General features: G+C 39.5%; 1 protein-coding gene across 23 annotated transcripts in view; it reads left to right on the forward strand.

Moving 5' to 3' along the window:
* The window catches only part of ACOXL (acyl-CoA oxidase like), a 385,976-nt gene that overhangs the window by 346,766 nt on the left and 21,157 nt on the right, over positions 1-18,053 (forward strand). For 20 of the 23 annotated variants that reach the window (NM_001437600.1, XM_011511414.4, NM_001142807.4 and 17 more), the window contains one exon: positions 13,527-13,628. In NM_001437600.1, the coding sequence (NP_001424529.1) occupies positions 13,527-13,628 (102 nt within the window). Of the gene's footprint in view, positions 1-13,526; positions 13,629-14,148; positions 15,007-18,053 lie in introns of those variants that run through there. The other 3 variants (NM_001371254.1, XM_011511423.2, XM_011511419.3) reach the window with 1 other exon arrangement.

The raw sequence follows: 18,053 nt of genomic DNA on the forward strand, positions 1-18,053 counted from the left end.
AGTGAGAACATGTAATATTTGTCTTTCTGTGTCTGTTCAAAGTCTTTTGTATGCTAATTAGCATGAAATCCATGCATGAAGGCCTCAGGCTGCATTCAACATTTCGTAAACAACTTTCTGGGGCTGCTTTCCCAAGTCCTGCCTCTCCATGACCATCCTGATACTTTCTGGTTCCCTCGGGCTTCCTCTCCTCATCCTCCAGCCAGAAAGCTGAGGTTTAGTTATCCTACTCTGCTGCACATGCTTCCAGGGACATGAGCAGCATGAGGAAAAAGAGTTAAACTCACTGCCAGTTTTGGAGCACTTTGAATTCTGATCTTCTTCCCTAATCTACCTGCCACTATTTATTTTTCAGAGTCCTCAAGTAGCTTCTCCATGCACTGTGTCCAGAAATTATGGCTGCATTCAGTGAAAGAGATGGGGGAAGTCATCTCTATGTTACCCAGAACCAGAGCCCATAGCCTATACCTTTAGTAAGAGTCACCTTTTTTTTTTTTAATTCTGAAAAGTGGAGGTACTACAGTGTGAAAGGCCAAAAAAAAAAAAAAATCTTTGATTTCTGAAAGAATTAATTCCATTCAGGGATTCAACTTCTTCCTGGTTTAGTCTTGGGAGGGTGTATGTGTCCCAGAATTTATCCATTTCTTCTAGATTTTCTAGTTTATTTGCATAGAGGTGTTTATAGTATTCTGTGATGGTAGTTTGTATTTCTGTGGGATCAGTGGGGATATCCCCTTTATCATTTTTTATTGTGTCTATTTGATTCATCTCTCTTTTCTTCTTTATTAGTCTGACTAGCAATCTATTTTGTTAATCTTTTCAAAAAACCAGCTCCTGGATTCATTGATTTTTTGAAGGATTTTTTGTGTCTCTATCTCCTTCAGCTCTGCTCTGATCTTAGTTATTTCTTGTCTTCTGCTAGCTTTTGAATTTGTTTGCTCTTGCTTCTGTAGTTCTTTTAATTGTGATGTTAAGGTGTCAATTTTAGATCTTTCCTGCTTCCTCCTGTGGGCATTTAGTGGTATAAATTTCCCTCTAACCACTGCTTTAGCTGTGTCCCAGAGATTCTGGTATGTTGTGTCTTTGTTCTCATTGGTTTCAAGAACTTATTTATTTCTGCCTAAATTTCATAGTCATTCAGGAGCAGGTTGTTCAGTTTCCATGTAGTTGTGTGATTGAGGCAATAATTAATAGCCTATCAACCAAAAAAAGCCCAGGACAAGATGGATTCACAGCCAAATTCTACCAGAGGTACAAAGGGGAGCTGGTACCGTTCCTTCTGAAACTATTCGGAATAGTAGAAAAAGAGGGACTCTCCCTAACTCATTTTATGAGGCCAGCATCATCCTGATACCAAAACCTGGCAGAGACACAACAACAACAACAAAATTTCAGGCCAATATCCCTGATGAACAATGATGTGAACATCCTCAATAAAAAACTGGCAAGCCAAATCCAACAGCACATCAAAAAGCTTATTCACCACGATCAAGCTGGCTTCATCCCTGGGATGCAAGGCTAGTTCAACACATACAAATCAACAAACATAATCTATCACATAAACAGAACGAATGACAAAAACCACATGATTATCTCAATAGATACAGAAATGCCTTCAATAAAATTCAACATCCGTTCATGCTAAAAACTCTCAATAAACTAGGTATCGATGGAATGTATCTCAAAATAATAAGAGCTATTTATGACAAAACCACAGCCAATATCATACTGAATAGGCAAAAGGTGGAAGCATTCCCTTTGAAAACCAGCACAAGCCAAGAATGCCCTCTCTCACCACTCCTATTCAACATAGTATTGGGAGTTCTGGCCAGGGCAATCAGGCAAGAGAAAGAAATAAAGGATATTCAAATAGGAAGAGAGGAAGTCAAATTCTCTCTGTTTGCAGATGACATGATTGTATATTTAGAAAACCCCATCGTCTCAGCCCAGAATCTCCTTAAGCGTATAAGCAACTTCAGCAAAGTCTCAGGATACAAAATCAATGTGCAAAAATCACAAACATTCCTATACACCAATAACATACAAACAGAGAGCCAAATCATGAGTGAACTCCCATTTAAAATTGCTACAAAGAGAATAAAATATCTAGGAATACAACTTACAAGGGATGTGAAGGACATCTTCAAGGAGAACTACAAGCTGCTGCTCAACGAAATAAGAGAGGACACAAACAAATGGAAAAACATTCCATGCTCCTGGATAGGAAGAATCAATATCATGAAAATGGCCATACTGCCTGAAGTAATTTATAGATTCAATGCTATCCCCACCAAGCTACCATTGACTTTCTTCACAGAATTAGAAAAAAACTACTTTAAATTTCATATGGAACCAAAAAAGAGCCCGTATAGCCAATACAATCCTAAGCAAAAGGAACAAAGCTGGAGGCATCACACTACCTGACTTCAAACTATACTACAAGGCTACAGTAACCAAAACAGCATGGTACTGGTACTAAAACAGATATATAGACCAATGGAACAGAACAGAGGCCTCAGAAATAATGCTACACATCTATAATCATCTGATCTTTGACAAACCTTACAAAAACAAGCAATGGGGAAAGGATTCCATATTCAATAAATTGTGTTAGGAAAACTGGCTAGCCCACAGAAAACAGAAACTGGACCCCTTGCTTACACTTTATACAAAAATTAACTCAAGATGGATTAAAGACTTAAATGTAAGACCTAAAACCATAAAAATCCTAGAAGACAACCTAGGCAATAGCATTCAGGACATAGGCATGGGCAGAGACTTCATGACTAAAACACCAAAAGCAATGCCAATGAAAGCCAAAATTGACAAATGGGATCCAATTAAACTAAAGAGCTTCTGCACAGCAAAAGAAACTATCATCAGAGTGAACAGGCAACCTACAGAATGGGAGAAAATTTTTGCAACCTATCCGTCTGACAAAGGTCTACTACCCAGAATCTACAAAGAACTTAAACAAATTTACAAGAAAAAAAAAAAGAAACAACCCCATCAAAAATTGGGTGAAGGATATGCATAGACACTTCTCAAAAGAAGACATTTATGTGACCAACAAACGTGAAAAAAAGCTCATCATCACTGGTCATTAGAAAAATGCAAATCAAAACCACAATGAGATACCATCTCATGCCAGTTAGAATGGCAATCATTAAAAAGTCAGGAAAAGACAGATGCTGGAAAGAATGTGGAGAAATAGGAACACTTTTACACTGTTGGTGGGAGTGTAAATTAGTTCAACCATTGTGGAAGACACCGTGGTGATTTCTGGTTCTAGATTCCAGTGATCTAGAACCAGAAATACCATTTGACTCAGCAATCCCATTACTGGTATATACCCAAAGGATTATAAATCATGCTACTATAAAGACACATGCACACATATGTTTATTGCAGCACTGTTCACAATAGCAAAAACTTGGAACCAACCCAAATGCCCACCAATGATAGACTGGATAAAGAAAATGTGGCACATATACACCATGGAATACTATGCAGCCATAAAAAAGGATGAGTTAATGAACTTTTCAGGGACATGGATGAAGCTGGAAACTATCATTCTCACCAAACTAACACAAGAACAGAAAACCAAACATCACATGTTCTCACTCATAAGTGGGAGTTGAACAATGAGACCGCATGGACACAGGGAGGGGAAGATCACACACTGGGGCCTGTCAGGGGGTTGGGGTTAGGGGAGGGATAGCATTAGGAGAAATACCTAATGTAGATGATGGGTTGATGGGTTCAGCAAACCACCATGGCACGTGTATAGCTATGTAACAAACCTGCACATTCTGCGCATGTATCCCAGAACTTAAATTATAATAATTAAAAAAAAGAATTGATTCCAACCCTTACTCTATCATTTAACTTTCTTTGAGCCTCTGTTTCTTCATGTGTAAAAAGGGGGCTGTGTCAGGGGTCCCCAAGACTATCCTCAGGTTCAGGGATTTGCTAGAATGTCTCATAGGATGCAAATAAGCTGTTATATTCATAGTTATAGTTTATTACAGCAAAAAATACAGATTAAAATCAGCAAAGGGAAAAGGTACAGGGGGTAAAGTCCAGGAGAGATCAGCAAACTTCCAATTGTCCACTCCCAGTGGAGTCTATAGACAGCATTTAATTCTCCCAACAATGATGTGTGATAACATGTGCAAGGTGGTGGCAACCAGATCACCCAAACCTTGGAGTCCAGGGTTTTTTTGTTTTTTTTTTTGAATAGTCACATAAGCATGTAGCATTCATATGACTGACCTCAGCTCCTCAGCTCCTCAGACCATATCGCACAACTACCCCAGAGGTAAAAGTGATGCACCATGGCCCAAAGGTCCAGGCATACAAACACACTCATACCAGGCAAGATACTACAAGAGCTCAAAAGTCTCTCTCCCAAGAGCCAGGAAAGGGCCAGTCCTGAAAACTTTGGGTTTGTGCAAGATTTGAGCAGCCCAGACCTGTTAGCTCTTTCCTGCACAGGTCTACAACTTTTAGCTTTCGGAATTATTATGAGGACTAAATGAGGTGGATATAAAATACCTTATAGTGTCTGACACATAGTAGGTGTTTGATAAATATTAGATATTAGACTCTATAGACAGAGACTTCAAAGGGGCACATGGACTTGTCAGGAATAAAAACAGAAATGTCATTCTGACAATACTTCCAGAAAAAAAAATGTGATTTGGGGCCAGGAGTGATGGCTCATACCTGCAATCCTAGCACTTTGGGAGGCCAAGGGGGAAGGATCGCTTGAGCCCAGGAGTTCAAGACCAGCCTGGGCAAGATGGCAAGACCCCATCTCTCCCAAAAAATAAAAAACGGTTATGATTTGAGACATACTTATAGAAACCAGGGTAGGAGTAGAGGGACTGCTGTCTTACGGACACAGATCTAAGGAATACACACACACACACACACACACACACACACACACACACACACACACACACAAGAAGTGGAAGGATTGTGGGGGAGACATTTGTCCAAATATAAACACAAAGCATTTAATAAATGTCAGTAGGGCCAAACCCCAGCATAACATGAGGCTTGACAAATAATCTTATAAAAATTTAAAAGGCCATTTTTAGCTATATTCAAGATGTGAAGAGATGGACTCTTGGTTTAGGCAAGAAAAATTTGGTATTAATACATGGCAAAAAGAAAGCAAAGCTACTTATCTCCTATTATGTTCCCATCTTCTCTCTGAAGCAACATTGTTCTCAATTGGAAAGGACTTATGATTGACAGAGATTTCAAACAAAGGAGGACAAAAGAAATCCCGGAAAATTATAAATGAGCAAATGTCCACCTTTTCAAAGACAGCTAACAACACAATGACAGGATCAAATCCACACATATCAATACTAACCTTAAATGTAAATGGACTAAATGACCCAATTAAAAGGCACAGAGTGGCCAGCTTGATAAAGAGCAAGACCCAATAGTATGCTGTCTTCAAGAAACCCATCTCACATGCAATGACACCCATAGGCTCAAAATGAAGGGATGGTGAAAAATCTACCAAGCAAATGGAAAACAGGAAAAAAAAAAAAAAAAGCAGAGGTGGCAATCCTAATTTCAGACAAAACATACTTTAAACCAACAAAAATTTTAAAGACAAAGAAGGACATTACACAATGATAAATGATTCAATTCAACAAGAAGATGTAACTACCCTAAATGTATATGTACACAACACAGGAACACCCAGATTCATAAAGCAGGTTCTTAAGAGACCTATGAAGAGACTTACATTCCCACACAATAATAGCAGGAAACTTCAGCACCTCAATGACAGTATTAGACAGATCACTGAGGCAGAAAAAACAAAAGTATTCAGGAGCTGAACTCAACACTGGATCAAATGGACCTGATAGACATCTACACAACTCCCCACCCAAATACAACAGAAGATACATTCATCTCATGGCTACATGGCACATACTCTAAAATTGACCACACAGTCAGGCATAAAACAACACTCAGCCAATTCAAAAACACTGAAATCATACCAACCATGCTCTTGGACCACAGAGCAATAAAAGTAGAAATCAAGACTAAGAAAATTCCTCAAAACCATATAATTACATGGAAATTAAACAACCTGCTCTGAATGACTTCTGAGTAAACAATGAAATTAAGGCAGATTTCAAGAAGTTCTTTGAAACTAATGAGAACAGAGATACAATACAGCAGAATCTCTGGGACACAGGTAAGGTAGTGTTAAGAGTGAAATTTATATCACTAAATGCCCACATCACAAAGTTGGAAAGATCTGAAAATAATTACCCAACATTACAACTAGAGGAACTAAAGAAGCAAGAGCAAACCAACCCCTAAGCTAGCAGAAGACAGGAAATAACCAAAATCAAAGCAGAACTGAAGGAGATTGAGACATAAAAAAATACAAAAGATCAACAAATCCAAAAGTTGTTTCTTTGAAAAAATTAATAAGATAGCTAGACTAATAAAGAAGAAAAGAGAGAAAGTCCAAATAAACACAATTAGAAATGACAAAGGGGATGTTACCACCGACTCCACAGAAATACAAATAACCATCAGAGACTACTATGAATACCTGTATATACACAAACCAGGAAGTCTAGAAGAAAGGGATAAGTTCCTGGACACACACATCCTCCCAAGGCTGAACTAGGAAGAAACTGAATCTGTTAACAGACCAATAATGAGCTCCAAAATTGAATCAGTAATAAATAGCCTACCAACCAAAAATAGCCCAGGACCAGATGGATTCACAGTTGAATTCTACCAGATATACAAAGAAGACCTGGTATCATTACTACTGAAACTATTTCAAAACATTGAGAAAGGACACCTCCCCAACTCATTCTATGAGGCTGGCATCATCCTGATACCAAAGCCTGGCAGGGACACAACAACAAAAAAGAAAACTTTAGGGCAATATCCTTGATGAACATAGATGCAAAAATACTCAACAAAATCTTAGCAAATCAAATCCAGCAGCATGTAAAAAGCTAATCCACCAGGATCAAGTAGTTTTTATCCTTGGGATGCTAGGTTGGTTCAACATACACAAGTTAATAAATGTGATTCATCACATAAACAGAACTAAAGACAAAAACCATATGATTATCTCAGTAGATGCAGATGAAATTCGATAGATAGATGTGAATGGGATTGCATTCCTGATTTGGCTCTCAGCTTGGATATTGTTGATGTATAGAGGGTTGGCTGTTGGTTTATTGGGGGTTTTTAACATGAAGGAATGTTGCATTTTATTGAACATCTTCGACAAAAGGCACTGAAGGAACATACTTGAACATAGTAAGAGTCATCTATGAAAAACCCACAGTCAAAATCATGCTGAATGGGCAAAAGCTGGAAGCATTCCCCTTGAAAACCAGCACAAGACAAGGATCCCTTCTCTCACTACCTCTGCTTAACATAGTCAGTCCTGGCCAGAGCAATGAGGCAAGATAAATAAATAAAAGGTATCCAACTAGGAAGGGAGGAAGTCAAACTATTCCTGTTTGCAGACAACATGATTCTATGTCTAGAAAAACCCTATGGTCTCTACCCAAAAGATCCTTGAGCTAATAAACAACTTCAGCAAATTTCAGGATACAAAATCAACATATAAAAATCAGTAGCATTCCGATACACCAACAAAATCCAAGTTCAGAGCCAAATCAGGAATGCAATCCCATTCACAATGGACACAAAAAGAAGAAAATACCTAGAAATACAAATAACCAGAAATGTAAAAGATCTCTACAATGAAAATTATAAAACAGTGCTCAAAGAAATCAGAGATGACACAGACAAATGGAAAAACATTCCATGCTCATGGATAGGAAGAATCAATATTGATAAAATGGCCATCCTGACCAAAACATTTACAGATTTAATGCTATTCCTATCAAACTATCAATGACATTCTTCACAGAAGTAGGGAAAGCTGTTTTAAAATTCATATAGAACCAAAAAAGAGTCCAAATAGCCAAGGCAATCCTAAGCAAAAGGAACAAAGTTGGAGGCATCATATTACTCAACTTCAAACTGTATTACAGATACAGTAACCAAAATAGCATAGTACTGGTACAAAAACAGACACATAGACCAATGGTACAGAATAGAGAGCCCAGAAATAATGCTGCACACCTACAATGCAGCACACCATCTGATCTTTGACAAAGCTAACAAAAACAAGCAATGAGGAGGGGACTCCCTATTCAATAAATGGTGCTGGGATAACTGACTAGCCATATGCTAAAGACTGAAACTGGACCCCTTCCTTACACCATATACAAAAATCAACTCAAGATGGATTAAAGACTTAAATGTGAAATCTAAACCTATGATAACCTGGGAAATACCATTCCAGACGTAGGAACTGGCAAAGATTTCATGACAAAGATGCCAAAAGCAATTAAAACAGAAGCAAAAATTAACAAATGGGATCTAATTAAACTAAAGAGCTTCTGCTCAGCAAAAGAAACTATCAACAGGGTGAACAACCAACTTACAGAATGGGAGAAAATATTTGCAAACTATACATCTGACAAAGGTCTAATATCCAGCATCTCTAAGGAACTTAAATTTATAAGACAAAAACAAACAACCCCATTGAAGAGTAGGCAAAGAACATGAACAGACACTTCAGAAGAAGACATACATGTGGCCAAAAAGCATATGAAAAAATGCTCAATATCACTAATCATTAGAGAAATGCAAATAAAAACCACAATAAGATACCATCTCACACCAGTCAAAATGGCTGTTATTAAAAAGTCAAAAAATAACAGATGCTGGCAAGGTTGCAGAGAAAAAGGGAACGCCTATGTACTGCTGGTGGGAGTGTAAATTAGTTCAACCATTGCTGAAAGCAGTGTGGCAATTCCTCAAAGAACTAAAAGCAGAATTACCATTCAACCCAGCAATCCCACTACTGGGCATATACCCAAAGGAATATAAATCATTCTACCATAAGGATACATGCATGCCTGTGTTCACTGCAGCACCATTCACAATAGCAAAGACATGCAATCAACCTAAATGCCCATTAATGGTAGGCTTCGTAAAGAAACTGTGGTATATATACTATGCAGCCATGAAAAAAAATGAGATAATGTCGTTTGCAGGAACATGGATAGAACTGGAGCCCATTATCCTTAACAAGCCAGCCCAGGAACAGAAAACCAAGTACTGCTTGTTCTCACTTTTAAGTGGGAGCTAAATAATGAGAACACATGGACACACAAAGGGGAACAACAGACACCGGGGCCAACCTTAGGGTGCAGGGTGGGAAGAGGGAGAGGATCAGGAAACATAACTATCGGGTACTAGGCTTGGTACATGGGTGATGAAATAATCTGTACACCAGACTCCCATGACATCAGTTGAACTATACTCACACATATAGCCCTGAACCTAAAATAAAAGTTAAAACAAAAACAAAAAAAAGTAGATATGGGAAACTATACAATCTGAGATTAATATAAATCCAAGTTAAAATTCTACGAAAGACTATTCCAGATAGTTTATGTACAAATAGAAAAGGGACCATCACTAGAAGGCTGCCTAGTTAAGTAAGGATAAGTAAGGATTAATTAAGTAAGGCTTATCCTTCCTTTCTTATACTTCCTTTCTTAATCAGATTACTAGAAGAGAAAATTTGGACCCAGGCACGGTGGCTCACGCCTGTAATCCCAGCACTTTGGGAGGCCGAGGCAGGTGGATCACAAGGTCAAGAGATCGAGACCATCCTGGCCAACATGGTGAAACCCCGTCTCTACTAAAAATACAAAAACTTAGCTGGGCATGGTGGCGTGAGCATGTAGTCCCAGCTACTCGGGAGGCTGAGAAAGGAGAATCGCTTGAACCAGGGAGGTGGAGGTTGTAGTGAGCCAAGATTGCCACTGCACTCCAGCCTGGCGATAGACCGAGACTCCGTCTCAAAAACAAACAAACAAACAAACAAACAAACAAATTTGGAAAAATTGATGATGTGTCTTGATTTTGGCCAACATTTTGCCAAGCTAGAGAAACAAGAGTCAGGTAATATTCCATTAAATAAGTTTCCAGAGAGCTTGAATCAAGTCTCAGCTAACTTGAATTCAGCTGATGTAGACCTATCAGCTGACAAGACTTTACAAACTTGAAAATGACAAAACATGTCAGGTGACTTAACCAAGAGTCATAAAGAACTCCTTGGGGAGTTCAAGGTAGGCCATATAAACAAGATGACTTTAAAATAAATTTAAAATTAAAATCATTCCCTTAGGGATGTATATATGTATGTATGGGTTAGTTGAAAATAGTTTATGGGGGGAAAGGCTTAGTTAGGAATGTCAAATGTTCAAATGCTTGATATAAACCAAATGTGCATGGTTTTCTTTCACTCATTTATTCAAAAATATTATATACTAACTATAAAAGCACATTCTGCCTTGCTTTGCATGTAAAAGTATAGAATCCAAACCTAGGGCAGTAATGGTGCTGCAGATGCCATAGTGATGAGACAACACTGGATATTGCTTTTAGTTTTATAAGACACCTTGGAGAAGAGAATTAACCATCCAGACTAGGCCACCAGTTTCAAGGTGGCCCAAGAGTTGAAACCAAGTGTTAAGAGGAGATTGACGATCTGTTGAGGCTGATCATCCTGAAGGGTGGAAGACTAAGTGGAGATGTGAAAAATATCTTTAAATTTTTTAAAGGCTATTGTCTGGAAGCTTTCATAGACTGCTGCTTGGTTCCTTAGGTAGCAGAAGTTGTAACATCAATAGCTATGAGTTATAGGAAATTGGGTTTCAGCTAATATCATACAGTGTGTCAGCTCCTTTACCAGACCCTAGGCATATAAAGATGAGCAGGACAAGATCCCCTTCCTCACAGTTAATCCATAAATTCATATTCCATATAGAGAAGTGGCTCCAGACACAATGACTCTTCCAACAGTGAGATTCATTAGGAAATTGGATGCCTCTTAACACACTGAGCTCCCATCTCTGGAACACAAAAGAAAGACATTTCAGGTACTGTTTGGGGGACTGAGACTGGGCTGATGGTACCTGTGCCTAGCTGTGGTGTTCTGGTAGCCACCAAGAACCAGGACTCCTATTTACCAGGACAAGCAAAGGGGGTAGCCCAAGGAGAGTCTGAGCTGTGTTCCTGGAGGAAAGCAAAAGATTAAAGCCAAAAACGTGGCCCTGAGAATCAGGTACACAAAAGCCACAGACTGTCAACAGGAGAGCAATTCTCAAGTCCAAAGAAGGGAAGAGCAGACATAGTCAGGATGCATGGTGTGAGCCTGGGGAAAACCATCATTTGGGAACAGCCTGGGAATGCCGGCCAGTTAGCAGCTTGTTGGGAGCTCTCTGTGATCAAGCAGGCTTTGGCTTGGATCAGATGGGACTGGACAAGACGCTGAATGACCCTCTGTCAGGGGTGTTAGAGATGTGACTTGTGATAGATGTCTTCCATTTGCCTCTGTAGCTCTGCTCACCACTCTTCTCTACCCTGTGTGGATCTAGGAAGTTGACCTACATTGCCTGCATCCATGGAATCCTCGCCTTTTGGACTTAGTTTGGTTTAGATAACAGCTAGAGCAGTGGTTTGGAGTCTTTGAAGAGGTCCTTCACATCCCTTGTTAGCTGAGAACAGCTAGAGATTAAAGAGGGAGGAAGACAGCAGAGTTAGGATCCCCCTGCTCCCTGCTTGCCTCACTATGGGGTCACCTTGGGATTGCTGTTTTTCTTGGCTGAGGGTCACAGCTCCTCTTAAAATGTCCCTGTTTACATAGCTTTTTCTTCCAGGATCCAGCAGCCACTCCCTGCCCTCTACCCTCTAAGCCTAGAAGGTGGTAACAGCTCCAGTTACCAGCTCCAGGGTACTGCACTATCTCTTAGGGGTCTCCTACATCTTGTCCATCCTATTTAAATGCTTCTTATATTATACTAATGTGAATGTATCATCTGTTTCTTGGTTGAACCCTGGCTGATACAGGATTCTGGATTGAGTGAGAAGATGGACTAGATTATTTCTAAGAACTCTTATACTTCTAGAGCTCTGGATTTCTTGTCACTGATCTTATATTTTTGTATACCTGAGCGATGAGGATTAAATTTCTGCACCTAGAAACTCACAGCAAATATTTTTGTAGCACATAAGAAGTTCATCTAGAGACTCATGATTTGGCTTAACCACATAATTTATATGATTTATTATTTTTATAAGAATTTATGTTTTCAGTATGAATTGCAGTTCATAGTCTCAGTTGCTCACACTATCTGAAGGGTCAGCTAACATCTTTATTGGTGTCATGTAAAAGACCCAAAGGGCACTTAATCTGGCCAAGGAACTACTGTCCAGACTTTGGTAATTTCATAAAAGAGCTGAAATTAACCTTAAATATCTTTCATAAATAAGCTGCTCAGCCATACTGTGACACTTTCTGGGAAGACTGAATAGTTGAGGCTCCTCATAATGATGCTGTTCCAAGGATACGCCAGAACCCCAAGAAAGGAATGAGGAGACCACAGGGTCTGCATGACTGTGAACCACATGACTGTGAACCACATGACTTCTGAGTCTGATAAGCCATAGAAGGCAAATTGTCTTCTAGTGGGAAGATCATTTCTATTTGACTCAGAATAAGAGGGTTTTGTTTTTGCTTGGTTTGGTTTTGAGGCTATCTTACTTCTAATGTGTCATTATCTTTTAGAGATACACAGTGAGATATTTGTGGGTGAAATGATATGACTGAGGTCTGCTTTGCAGTGATACAGAGAAGGGGAATAGGTGGGAGCAGAGTAAAAACAGGATTCGCGATGAGTGGATATGGGTGATGGAGACATGAGGCCCATACTATGCTCTCTATTTTTGCGTGATTTTGAAATTATTGAATATCGAGAGTTACGTGAATAAACAGTTAAATAAAAAGTGACTTCTTCCTACAGGGAAACTCATTTATTGTTGCTTGGTGCCCATGATGTGATGCAGAAGCTCTGTGTGTAGGTTTCAGAAACATAATAGGAAAAAACATACTGAAACAAAATGTAAATGAGGAATGCTATTTTTTGTGAAAGTTTACCCAAACCATGCTCAATGGAAAATATCAAGATATTATTATTCAGGATGTACCTTTACAGTATCTTTCACGTGGACTTTGCTGTATGGACTTTGCTCCTAAATAACGTGGGCTAGAGGAGAACCAGGTAGGTTACATATGAAATAAGGTTGGTTGTGAGTTAAAATTTCTTGAGTTTTGGGGAAGGATATATGGGAGTTCGTTATGCTATTTGTTCTACTTTTGTATATGCTTTAAATTTTTCATAGAATTCTTTTAAAAAATAAAACCTATACTGCACATCCAAAACATGGCCATTTTACATTAGGAAAGTATTAACTTTTACGATTTTATGAAATGTAATATTATGTTATTTCTCTTTCGCCTCCTTAGATTTTGTGTTTTCTAATATATTGCTATTTGTCCATTTCTTTTGTTTTCCCCCACCCCTTAGTTTTGTCTGTTGTATGGAACCAAGCTGGTGTTTCAGGAGCGGGCCTGGTATTTAGAACATAAATACTTGACTCCCATGGCCAGCACGAGGATCAGGAATCAGGTAAGGTCCCTGGGGTACAGAAAAACACTTTGTACATCAGCCCTGGTCTCCTTGCTTTCTTAGAAAACAGTCCTGCCAATCTTCTATCAGTTTCCACTCATGGATTTTTATGCCTCTGGGACTTCACATGTATATTTTCATTACCTATCATGATCGTATTACACTTAAGAGTTTAGGTGACAAGGGAGTGACTCACTGTACATGAGTTTTCTAACATGAAAAGGAGAGGAAGGTATCAAAATGTTTTCCTTGTCTTGGCCAAAAAAAAAAAAAAAAAAGTGTTAGTGATTTCTTTTCTGCTTCTTACCAAAGCCTATTAATACATTGTTTATATTAAGAAGAAAGACCCGGGGTATTTTTATGTCAGTGGTAGCCATGGGGAATTCAATACAATAGCTACGGAGCACCTGAAAAAGAAGGTGAGGCCAGTATTCACCACGAAAATGCTACTGCAAAGAAAAAGAATGTGAAACAGCATACTCATCAGTAAAACACATTTCTGATTACATCCTTTCTGCAGGAGAGATGCTGAAACACAAACAGGTATAAGACTCAGTCTCCACATGAAGGGAGCTCATATCCAAGGACACAAAACCACTTTAAAAACATAAATACTGGCCAGGTGCAGTGGCTCATGCCTGTAATCCCAGCACTATGGGAGGCTGAGGCGGGCAGATCTCCTGAGCTCAGGAGTTCGACACCATCTTGGGCAACATGGTGAAACCCTGTCTACTAAAATACAAAAAAATTAGCTGGGCGTGGTGGCATGTGGCTGTAGTCCCAGCTACTCGGGAGGCTGAGGCACGAGAATCGCTTGAGCCCTGGAGTTGGAGGTTGCAGTGAGCAGAGATTGCGCCACTGTACTCCAGTTTGGACTACAGAGTGAGACTCCATCTCAAAACAAAACAAAACAACAACAGCAAAAAACAACAAAACAAAACACAAATACTCTCACAGGGCATGGAGGTTTTCGAATGAACTTGGCCATAAGAATAAATTCAGAGTTGACAGAACAGACGTCTTAGGAATAAATGCCATTCTTATGCTAGACCTTGAAGAGTAGAAAATTAAGAGATGGTGGCCCAATTGAGAGGGGAAAATGCAGTTGAAACTTCAGACAGGGTTGATAAAGTGAGGACGATCATAGACATGGAGTACTTAGACATATTAATAAACAATAAAGACTTTACCTGTCTAATGGAAAACCTGGAGAAGTCGTCAGGAACCAGACTACAGTGGACCCTGGAGAACCTTGAAGAACATTTTTCCTTTTCAGGAAAACGGAGGTTACAGAGAAAAGTATATGTAATGATGCTACAGTAATGTATTTCTGTATAACAAATGACTCCAAACTTACGACTTAAAACAACCACCACTTATTATTTGTCTTGGTCCATTTTTTGCTGCTGTAACAGAATACCATAGACTGGGTAATTTATAAAGAAAAGACATGCATTGCTTACAGTTCTGGAAGATGGAAAGTCCAAGGTCAAGGGGCCCACGTCTGGCAAAAGCCTCCATGTAGCACCATCCCATGGAAGGGAAGAGCAAGAGAGGGTGAAAGCGAGAGAGAAGGAAGGGAGGGGTTGAACTTATCCTTTTATTAGGAAACACTCCTGAGATGACAGCATTAATCCATTCATGAGGGCAGAGCTGTCATGTCCTATTCACCTTCTAAAAGTCATACCTCTCATCACTGTTGCATTGGGGATTAAGTTTTCAACACATAAACTTTGGGGGATACATTCAAGCCACAGCATCATTTCTCATGATTTTGCATTCTAGACAGAGTTCAGCTATTAACAGACAGTGCTTCTGCTCAATGTGGTGTCTGCTGGGGCTAAGGGTTCACAAAGACTTCTTCATTCTTATGGCTGGCAGCTCAGCTAGGATGACAGGAACAGACGGGTAATTGTCTCCTTCCATGTAGCCTAGTTTGGGCCTATTCACAGTAGGGTAGTTTCAGGGTGGTCGAATGTTTTATTTGATGGCTTCCAGGAATGAGAAAGTAGAAGATGCCAGCCTTCATAAAGGACAGGCCCAGAACTAACAGTGTTACTTCCACTGAATTCTATCAGTCAGAGGAAGTCACAGTGCCAGCACAGATTCACAGCTGGAGGAGAGACTTTACCGCTTGATGTGAGGAGTAGCATGTACATGCTGGGAAGGAAAGAATTGATGGCAGCTATCTTTGAAGACTATTTCCCACAAAGAGAGTGCCCACTTTGGGAAGATGGAAGAATACTTTTTAATTAGAAAAAAAAAAAAAAACCTACATAAGGGAAGATTTTAAATCTGTGCCACCAGGTATTTCAGTGACACAGAATTAGATAAACAATATGCAATATATCAGAGGAATATTTAGTGAAGGAAATGAACTTTCATATAAAACATTGAAGTGCTTTTGTATTTATTTTTCTTTTTCTTTTTTTTTTTTTTTTTTGAGTTGGAGTCTTGCTCTGTCACCCAGGCTGGAGTGCCGTGTCATGATCTCAGCTCAGTGCCACCTCGGCCTCCCGGGCTCAAGTGATTCCTTGCCTCAGCTTCCTGAGTAGCTGGGATTATAGGCACCCGCCACCATGCCTGACTAATTTTTGTATTTTTAGTAGAGACAGGGTTTCGCCATGCTGTCCAGGCTGATCTCCAACTCCTGGACTCAAGTCATCCGCCAGCCTTGGCCTCCCAAAGTGCTGGGATTACAGGCGTGATCCACTGCACCCGGACTGCTTTTGTATTCTTACAGTGCCACATGCTTTCCACACTTCTCACTTATTGGATCCTCTTAACAGCCTGGGAAATAAGCAGGCAGGAGCCAGCCACTTTGGAACAAGCTTTATCTGTAGGGCTATAGGACATCTCAAAGCCTTCTTTGTCACATCTCTGAGCTGGCAACCCTGAGTACTCATCCCATTTGCTGGTGTCCCCAAAGGGGAGAGGATAGTAGAACTGGCACAAATCCTTCCTTTCCCACTGCCACCATACCTCTTTGCAGGGATCTCAAGGCTTTAGAGAAATGATTTGCAGCCATTCTTCACAAAAAATATCTGGGACCCTTGGTCAATTGAAAGTGCTAAATGAGAATGTGCTTGCAAAGAAGATTAGAGGAGGCTGGGCTGATTGGTATTACTAACAAGGGTCCAGGTGTTTTCACATGATAGCTCTCCACATTTACTGATTCTTTCTTCAGATGCATCTAACATTCTGGTTACCCCATCCTCCCAGTTTTTAATTCCAATTGTTAGAATTTTTATTTTTAAAATTATTATTATTATTATTATTATTATTATTGAGACAGAGTCTTGCTCTGTAGCCCAGGCTGGAGTGCAGTGGCCTGATCTTAGCTCACTTCAACCTCTGCCTCCCGGGTCCCCATTCAAGCCATTCTCCTGCCTCAGCCTCCCAAGTACCTGGGATTATAGGCACGTGCCACCACGCCTAGCTAATTTTTGTATTTTTAGTAGAGACGGGGTTTCACCATGTTGACCAGGCTGGTCTTGAACTCCTGACCTCGTGATCTGCCCCCCTCAGCCTCTCAAAGTGCTGGGATTACAGGCAAAAATTTGTTTTTATATCATGCATGTCACTTTTTCGTTTCCTGTTCCCCAAAGATATATTCAATATTGTATTTTATTTTTTATACGTTGAAACTTAGCTGTTTTATAGTCTGTAGCTAATAATTCCGATACCTTAAAATCTTTACAAGTCTATTTATTTTTGTGTCTTGTTTCTTCTGTGTGTCTGGTTGTCTTTTATTGTGTGTTGGTCATTTGTTTTGAGAAATAATGTGTAAGATGTACATGAAGTCCTAATCGAAGGTAATTTTCCTTTGAAAGGCCTCTGAAAACACTCTCAGTTTGACACCTACCTTAAACCAAATTCAAGGCTTGGGCTTTTCTGGAAGACTCAGATACTCACAATAAGGGTAGCAATGTTTTTACCCTCCCCCTGTGGATATAGCTCTTTGACATCCCAGCTTGTCACGGTGAGGATCTGCTGTCAAATTTCTTGCTTAGTGCTGACCCTGATTTTTTACTATTATTACCTCCTGTCACCTGCCTGACCACCATCAAGCTGTCAGTGAAAATTCAGATTTTCTGGAAATGGCAAACACCTTCAGGGAAAATGCAATTTTCTGACTTGTTTATTTCTCTGGGTTCCCATTTTCCTATAAATTTTGGCTTTATTGTTTTGTCAGATCATTGATGCTTTGAAGATGTTTTCTGTATTTTCTTCAAATATTTTGGTTGTTTTCTGCAGAAAAGTTGGAAAAAAAAATCTAGCCCCCTGTTCTCAGAAATAGAAAGTTGCTTCATTGTTATTCTATATGACCCCACAACAACCCGGTGAAAAATTTTCATTACTCTTACACAGAGATGAGAAAACTGAGGCCCAAAGTGGCCAAGTAACTCACTCAAAGTAACACAG

Source organism: Homo sapiens, chromosome 2 (genome assembly GCF_000001405.40).
Source record: "Homo sapiens chromosome 2, GRCh38.p14 Primary Assembly".
Taxonomy (NCBI): Eukaryota; Metazoa; Chordata; class Mammalia; order Primates; family Hominidae; genus Homo; species Homo sapiens.